The sequence below is a fragment of the Homo sapiens genome, chromosome 17 (assembly GCF_000001405.40).
Source record: "Homo sapiens chromosome 17, GRCh38.p14 Primary Assembly".
In the NCBI taxonomy this organism is placed as follows: domain Eukaryota; kingdom Metazoa; phylum Chordata; class Mammalia; order Primates; family Hominidae; genus Homo; species Homo sapiens.
The window spans coordinates 13,980,844-13,990,098 of NC_000017.11; positions in this window are offsets into that span (position 1 = coordinate 13,980,844).

A 9,255-nucleotide genomic window follows, 5' to 3' on the forward strand; every position below is an offset into this window, starting at 1 on the left:
TGCCCAGTCAAGTTAACAATAAAATAAACCACATTTACATGCTTTTACACTGAACGGCACATCTCAACATAGATGAGCCACATATCAAGTGCTAAACAGCCACTTGGCTGATGGCCACCATATTGTAAGTAGAGCATTAGAATAATAAAGGCTCTGAGAAGACTTACAATAAAGAAACCTTTTTAATGTTGTTTAATCCAGTGTGTTCAAACTTTATTTGACTGCAGGACCCTTATTTCCAGTTATTGATCAACCAATTGATTGATTGATTGATTTTTACTGATTTCATTTATTATTATCTTGTTCTACAGTAACACACTTTAGAAATATCAACCTAGTTCAAAGTCCATAAAGTAGAGGTCCAACAATTAGATATAACCTACAGATGTGTTTTAGTTGCTTTTTTGAGTGATGTTTTAAAAATTGTTTTTGAGTAGTTTAAGCCAGCTTTTAAAAATTAGGAGATTTCACATGTAAATCTGGATTTGTAATTTAAAAGTGGAAACACCTGATCACACTGAGTCTGTATTTCCTCATGGCAACAATAGGCTAAAGTTGAGTGTCTGCTGCTCTCTTTATCATGGGGTGGGGAGTGGAGTGGGCTCAGAGGCACACAGCTCAGGGCATCCACACTAATGCTCCAATGTACGTATGTGTACCCACACCTGGGCAACGCATCCGTGAGAGTTATCTACTTGCCCTGTTAACAATTAAGTGTGCATGCCCTGATCAATCTCAGTCATCCCACTTTCAGATAAATAAATTTAAGCCTAGAGAGTTTAATTTAGGTCATTCACCTAAAGTCATTTCTTGAGTTAGTGGCAGAGGAAGAACCATTCCCCATTTCTCCTGATGGTTCTATATGCTGTCCTGATACTTCTACCGATGTTCCTTCTCCTTCTTTACCTTCAGAGAAGCACAGAATCTGTGAGCCTGACTTACTAACTCTTCACTCTCTCATTATGCTCTTTAAGTTGAAGTGATTCTCTCTGCCTGACACTATTTGGTTCTGCACTCATCACTAATGAGATGCTAACTTGAAACAAATCAAGGGATGAGAGAACCTTTGAGGAGGTCAATATATCCCACTGTGGTACCAGAGACAGTCCCAAATTCCTTAGATAATCATTCAGTCTTCTTGTTTGGACTTAATCAAAACATTGTGTCCACTGCTGAGGAGCATCCCGACTGAACAGAATCCCACCACGAGGCCTTCAGGAGATAGTGCATCTGGGCAGAATGCCAGAGCAGTCAGGATTTAGCTACTCCCAGAGGGACATGCATTCCTCCCATCACGATTCCAATCTCCTATGGCTGATTCTTATCTTGAGGCCAAGGCCAAGAGCATTTTTTTTCTTTATAACAACAGTTGATTTTCCTAGGGAGTTTCAGCTAGTTTTAATAAGAGAAAGTTTATCCAAGAATGTGGAAGTGTGTGTGTGTGTGTGTGTGTGTGTGTGTGTGTGTGTGTGTGAAGGTATGGGTGCTCTAATACCTGTTTTAGTGTGAAGTTTAGTAACCTTGAACATGAAAGGCTTCTTTCTTATCTCTGTGATTGCTGCTTGGTGGAGATTTAGGAAGTGATCTGCAGAAGAGAATGAAGAATCGAGTCAGAAGTTTTACACTCAGAGCTAACCTCATTGGCCTAGAAAGACAAGGAGCATAAAGAAAAGAAAATTCATCCCGAGTGGCCCTGTTTCTAGTCACCTAATGGACTCGTAAGTCTATTGCGTGTTAGGAGCTAAACCTAGAGGTTAAAGAAATGAGATGCCGTCCCTGAGATAACACTGTTTTCAAATGCAGACTCTTGGATCCTCCCAAGGAAAGCTCTTATTTCTTCAATTTCTTGCTATCGCCCAAATCATGAGCAGAGTGGCTCAGCGACCCGGCCAAGGAAGCACCATGAAGAGCTATACAAGGAGTGTCCTAAGATTGGCCTAGGGAGATGCTTCCGTACTTGCCATCCTTCAGTTGTAGTTAACCTCGTAAGTACTTCCAAAGGCAGAGCTGGTTTGAGAAGAGCCATGTTTCCTTTCTCTATGACATCTAGCAGAGTTTTGCACTTAGTAGTTATATTTGTCTGGCTTCCCCAGAAATCAGAGCCCAGAGTAGAGGCCTATTTCCTGTGGAAATAGGAAGCACAGCACCAGGGGGCAGGAATGAGGAGGAGGGGTTAGGCAGGGGCAGAAGAAGAGCCAACAGGAAGGTGTGTTCCTGACTTGCCATCCCGTGGTATCAAGTGAGACTTGGAATCAAGCACTCCTTCTTGTAGGACAGTCTTACGAGAGTCTGCATAAGCAACTCATTCTTAGAGCAGTCGAATAGGCAAGAAATATTTATCCTGTTATCTCAGTTTTGCAGAGACCACAAGGGCAAGAAGTATAGGCAATACCATCCCTCATTGTACTGTGAGGCGCTAAGCCATCTGCACAAGCAATGGCCCCAAGTTATCCCATTTGCTTGCATTCCCCCATTACCTACCTCAAGGTTAATAATGGGAAGCCCAGAGATTGGATAAAGAGAAAGATTAGAGAACATTTCTTTACAAAGAACAGTGTTTCTTTTCTCTCACCCAAGGCGGAAAGAAATGGAGTGTTCCTCCCTCCCCTTCATCTATTTTCATCAGGAGTATAACTCAGACACTTGACTTTTTCCCATGGAATTTGGAGACACAGGGACTGGTACCTGTCTCACGCCTGAAAAAAATGAATGGAACGGGCTTTTGGCAGGAGGAGGAGGGCAGGAGAGCAAAGAGAATGGCCTGAAATCTCAGAGGTTGAGGTAACAATGCATCCGTGTTGCTTTGGGTCATGTGAGGACCTTCTGAAAGAGCCCCGGCCATGAGTTGTTTTGAAATGGACCCCACCTAAGAAAGCTGCAGGAACAAGGTGACCCTAGTGAAGAAGTGGGTCAGCAGAAGCCAGTAGACAAAGGCATCATAAATAGCTGGGTAACTGAGGGATCACCTCCTCAAGGAACTGTGGGGTAGCAGAGCTTAGCATGGAGGAGACTGCATGGGAGGGAGCTATAAAAAACTCAAAAATATACACAAGAGAAGATGTCAAAATGTTCACCGTGACACAGTCACAGCATACCAATGCCAGGTAAAGCCTCACCACCCACATGAGACTGTGTTCTCCTCCAAGCTCATCGTCACCTTCCCAGCTAGTGAATGAAGGAGTAGGTAGCCAGAGGACATGAGGGAGAAGCCAGGCTGTGTCTCCTTCCACGACTTGGGGTAGAGCTGCCCAAGGCAGGCTCAGGCAGAGGGAGGGAAGAACTTTTAAACTGAATAAGAGCCCAGCGTTTTGACGTTAGGCTGGTCTGGGTTGTATTATCATTATTACCCCCAAAGAAATAACCAGAAAAGCTTTGGGAACTTTCTGGGACTTTATCCAAAGGCAGAGAAAAAAGTACATGAACAAAACAAGTTGGAAAGGGGTGGTGGTGAGGAAGGTGGAAATTGTTCTCTATGTGCCCCGCAGAGCAACGGAGCAGGAGCAATGGAGCAGCTCCAGTGATCAGCAGAAGGACTGCGTTTTGTGGGGGCGCATCGGAAATGCCGTGTAACTTCTTTTGTTAAATAGATGTCAAGACAGAAACTAGATGCCATATAATCCCATCAGTGATTCTTTTCTACAGAAACTAATTTACTAAAACATCACAGGAAAGTCCCTGGACATGTGAGGTATTCGTTGAGCAATCTGTCTTCTTCCCCTCAACCTCTCTGCTGGGTTTCCCTCCTCCTTAACTGGCAAATACACTTTGCCAACAGCAAAGATGTCAAAAGCAAATTTCTAGGGCAAAATAATACCAACTCTTGACTGTGAAACTAAAATTCTTAGAGAATACATGAGAACCAATAGCACCAAGTTGGTCATTTTCTTAAAAAAAAAAAAAAAAAAAAGCACTGTAAAAACGATGGAGAAAACAATTAAAAAAATAGAGTGATAAGTCAGCTGGAGCTTGAGGAAAATCAAGGGAAAGGAAGAAAATAGAGATACCCACAAAATTTGGGGGTATACATATGAAGGAAAGGACGGCTGACAGGCTGGCTCCCAGCTGTTATTTGAAAGTGGCAGCCCTAGGGACAAAAAAGAAAATGGAAAACAGTGGATGGTGTATTTAAAGATAAGATTCTAAGTGGAGTTAAGACTCTTCTGTGGGCCTGGGAATGGTGTGAGAAGGAGCTCTAGATTTTCCTGGGTCCAGAGTGAGAGGCAGGAGGCAGCTGAATGGTTGCCCTGACCAGCCCCAAGAATTTCCTGATAAAATGAAGGGAAACACATCAAAGCAAAATACTGGGCTATCTGCCAGATGTGCGACTGGGCAGCTGCATCTGTATGGGAGCATCCACGCCATATCCCCACGCTGCAATCGGGTGTGCCACTCCCCAGAGCCACCGATGCATCCCTCCTGTGGCAAGTGGAAAAAAAGAACACACAAGGACAACAACTGCTGACGGTAGAGAGAGACTTAAAAGAAGCCTCCAAATGGGACATCCCTCCACCTGGACTCATCACCTGGCTGAGGTTGTTGCTTTATAATCAGCAACAGTAAGGACGGGAAGCAGAAAAGAAATTCAGATGAACAGCTTTGAACAGACTGCTAGGAATCACTAGATTGGAAGCTCAGAATGAACTGAATTAAGTGATTTATAGATAGTAGGTAGTGGATCAGAGCAGAGATCAGACCAAAATTATAGCAACAAACTCTATTCTCTGCAAGCTGCATCTGACGAACTCTTGTAGCTGTGAAACGACCCAGCCTCTGGAGAATGCAAAGCTTTCTCTTTTTCTCTGGTGGCGGAGAGAGGGAAGCAAAGTGGGATGGAATGGCTAGGTCCTGACTTCCTTCATATGATTTTCTTATTCCTCTTCCCTCCTTGATCACATCAGTAAAGAGACAGAAGACAGACTAAGCTACTTAAACTACATTTCTTTGTGATTTCCTTTTTTTATTCCATTGGAATAAAAATGTCTCCACCCCATTCCCTTCTTTTCTATTACGTTCTTAAAAAGCTTGCATCAATTTGTTTAAAGGTTATACATCAACCACCCTTAAATTGCTACCAGTTTAAGAACTCCCTGGCAGAACCCAGCTTCCACAAGGAGTTATTTCCTTTTTCTGAATATTTAAGCAGAATAAAACCATTTACAGATAAAAATATGCAACGGCCACCTTCTTTCCTTATGAAATTGAGGGGCTGTCAGTTCTAGCTCCCTCTTACTGAAATGAATATTTGGACTACACCAGTATGAAAATAAAACGTCTTGACAGTTTCTCGAGGTTAATGGTGCAGAACCACCTGTATTTAACATTCCGACTTCTACTCCATTAACGCGCCTAACTCAGTTTTCTTTATCTGCCAAGGAGAAATGGAACAAAAATCAATATCCTACCCAAAGCAGTGATGAGGTTTTATTCCCCCTCAAATCTCAAAGGAATGTCAGACCCCTTTATATCAAGAATCTCCCTAAACAAATTGCGGGTTGCCACTGTGTGAACCAATGTTGTATGAAATCAAGAGTTGAAACGATTGCCACCTCGTTATTTATTTTCCATCCTGCAACATATATTTCATGTTCGCGTTAGTGCATTCAGATGCCAAGGAGATAAGTACTTTAACAATCCTAAGACAGAAGTCTATGGAGGCACTTGTTAATAGCTTCAATACATTTCCTTGTGTTGTAAATTTCAGCTTTCATATCTTTCCAAGAAGTTCCTCCCACTATTTTGGCAGTGAATGAACTTGCCAGGAGGCCTGTTCTCCATCCTCCCTTTCTTCTTACTTCATCTCCCACTCGGACCCAGGCCCAGCCTTCCTGAGGCACAAGCTGCACACTGGGATCCCTCCCCAGCTGCAGGCACACTCTGGGAGCCTTGCCCACTCATGCCCAAGGAAAAGGGTCACAGCAAGGCTGGTGCTGCTATGGGAATGAGGTGGCGGCTCCTCCTTGGTTACATTGCTCCAGGCTGATTCTCTGCCTCTCAAAGTGGAAAGCATGTTTGCCTAGACCCTTCTCAACTTCCAATGGCCATTCATACTTCAGCTACTTCTTGAACCACAGCTTCTTCTTCCCTGAGTTGCACTGGCTGATTAACTGACCTATTCCTGCCCCAGCGCTTATCTGACTCTTGATATTTATAGAACTTCCCCCTACCCCAGCCTAGGGTTGCTCTTGGTCCTAATCAGTTCTTCCTGCCATTTCACCCTTGCCATTTAAACACCAGGGTCATGTGCCCTGTGTTTTGAGTGTGTACTTTATCTGTTAGATCAGTGGTCAGCAAACGTTTCCTGTAAAAGGCCAGAGAGTAAGTTTTTGTTGTTGTTGTTGTTGAGACAGAGTCTTGCTCTGTTGCTCAGGCTGGAGTGCAATCGTGCAATCTTGGCTCACTGCAACCTCCGCCTCCCAGGTTCAAGTGATTCTCCTGCCTCGGCCTCCTGAGTAGCTGGAATTACAGGCACGCACCACCACACCCAGCTAATTTTTGTATTTTTAGTAGAGACGGGGTTTCGCCATGTTGGCCAGGCTGGTCTCGAACTCCTGACCTCAGGTGATCCACCTGCCTCTGCCTCCCAAAGTGCTTAGATTACAGGCATGACCCACTGCGCCTGGCCAAAAGTGAGTATCTTAAACATCATGGGTCATGCCATCTCTATCCTAACCACTCAGACCTGCCTTTGGAGTGTGAAAGCCACCCTAGCCCGTAAGTAAACAAATGAGCCTGGCTGTGTTCCAAGAAAATCTCATTTATGGACAGCTGAAATTTGAACCTCTTCTAAATTTCACTTCGTAAAACATTATTCTTCTTTTGTTTTTCAAAAAATCCATTTAAAGATGGAAAAGCAATTTCATAATGCTGTATGAAAACAGGAATGGGGCTTCGTTTGCTTGGTCTCTGTGTTAGGGATTTTCAATAAGTTTCTTTGCAAGTGGCAGAGTAGATGTGCAAAAAGTAGTTACTTTGTGAGTAATTTTTTAAAAAAAAAAGATAAAGAAATGAACGATGGAATGAAGGACTGAATGGTAAAATGAAAGGATTAATGAAGAAATGAAGGCATGAAGAACGAAATACCTATGAAAATTATTTGCTCCAAGGAACTCTGAAAATGTCTTCAATCATTTTTCCTTTTAATTCCAGTCTCCATTTCCAGCTCTAGAATACCCTGTATCCAGTCTTCCTTGCCATGTCCCATTCACTCATTCAATAAATGCTTATTGCACACCCGCTAAGGTACTGCGAGGCCTATTGCCAGGCGCTGAGAATAGAACAATGGAGAAGACAGGCCCCATCTTCAGGGAGCTCAAGCCCTAGAAGGGGCTTTAATAAGTGAGCAAGAAATCATATTACCATATGAAATGTCTATGAAATGGTTCAGGGTACTCTGGAATCACATGGGATGTTACCAGAGTCCAGATGGAATTAGGCTTAAAAAGATTTAGGAATTTGAGATCAGCCTGGGCAACATAGTGAGGACACTGTCTCTATAAAAAAAAATAGAAAAAATTAGCCAGATGTTGTAGTGAGTGCCTGTAGTCCTAGTGACTCAGGAGGCTGAGGTAATGGGATCCCTTGAGCCCGGGAGGTCCAGGCTGCAGTAAGTCATGATTGTACCACTGCACTACAGCCTGGGTGACAGAGCAAGACTCTGTCTCAAAAAAAAAAAAAAAAAAGGATTTAGGGAGATCAAGGGAGATGGGCCAGGTGGACACTGTGACTTCCACCAAGACAGGACTCCTTTGCTTTTTGATCAGACAAAACTCATGTAAGTCAGTAGGTAAATTCTGGGATCCTCAACAGGACAGAGCCCAAATGACATGTTACGCACTGAATTTTGATGTCTCTCCGCCACCCCAAATAAGCTGAACGGTGGTGTTTGGAGGGGGGCCTTTGGGAGGTGATTACATCATGAAGGTAAAACCCTCATGAATGAGATTATTGCCCTTATGAAAACACGAGAGGTCATTTTTCTCTTCACCATGTGAGGATACAAGGAATAAGTTGCTACCAGCAAACCAGGCTGAGTGCAAACCAGACATCACATCCGCCTTGGTTGTGGACTTCCCAGCGTCCAGAATAGTGAGAAATATATGTTTGTTGTTGAGGCCATTCTATCCATGGTATTGTGTTTTAGTAGCCCAAATTGACTAAGACAGGTTCCCCTAAGGTTCAAAAGACTTATCGGAAGTTCTCTTACCAGCCCTTTAATCATCAATCTGCATGTTTGTTGTTTATAAATCCCAAGAAGAATTTGAGATAAATTTTAATCTTAAAACACATGTAAAATATTTTCTTCAAACAAAGAAAAATCATGCTGCAGTTGCCATGTGTTTTAACGAAAGATACAGAAAGGTTCTCAAAAGGGGTGTTTCTTGCACGGCTCTTAGATAAAAGCTAGGGAAGCAGCATTAAATCTTAACAGAGTGGAAGCGTTTCTAAAAGGGACTAAGATAATACGGACCAGACACATGGCTTTCTGCAGACCAATCTCAATCCTGGGCCTGAGCTCAAAGAATGTAGATGAATGGATGTTTAACATGAACCCTCAACAGACTCTTATGCACATCACATCTCCAGCCAGCTTCTGGCAAGTGCTGAATTGTAGCAAATTCATGATGGGTTTCCCTGATGAGTTCCTGAAGTGTCAGTGGACCCTGCTTTAATCACTGAAAGGCAAAGGCAGCCTTCCGGGGAGGTAGACAGAGCCATACATAGTGCAGTGGGAGAGGCAGGAAAGCCCGCTACTCAAAAACATCTGCATGTGTCCAGGTGCCACAGAGCTGCAAGCCTTCCATTAGAGCAAACCTCATCACATCACTGCCCCTGCTCAGCTTTCTCCAGGGATTCCCTATCAATTTCCAAATAAAATCCACACCCCTTGGAGTGATATAAAGGGATCTTCAGAGAAAAAAAATTAAGTTAGATCTCTACCTCATGCTTTAAACCAAAATAATTTCCAGATGGGTTGAAGAGTTAAATGTAAGAAATAAAACCTAAAAGAACTTGAAAAAAGTACACATGAGTAAGCATTCTCTGATCTAGGGATCGCAAAGATTTACTAAACATACAAGCAAAAAAAGGAAAAGGTGGATAGATTGGACCATATAAAAATTAGGAAGGTCTATATATCACAAAAATGAAACCAATGAAATCAAAAGGTGGGCAGCAAATAGGAGAAAATATTTTACCACATGATGAAGGGCTAATGTCTTTAAAATTAAAGCAGCTCTTCACAAAGAAATGAGAGAA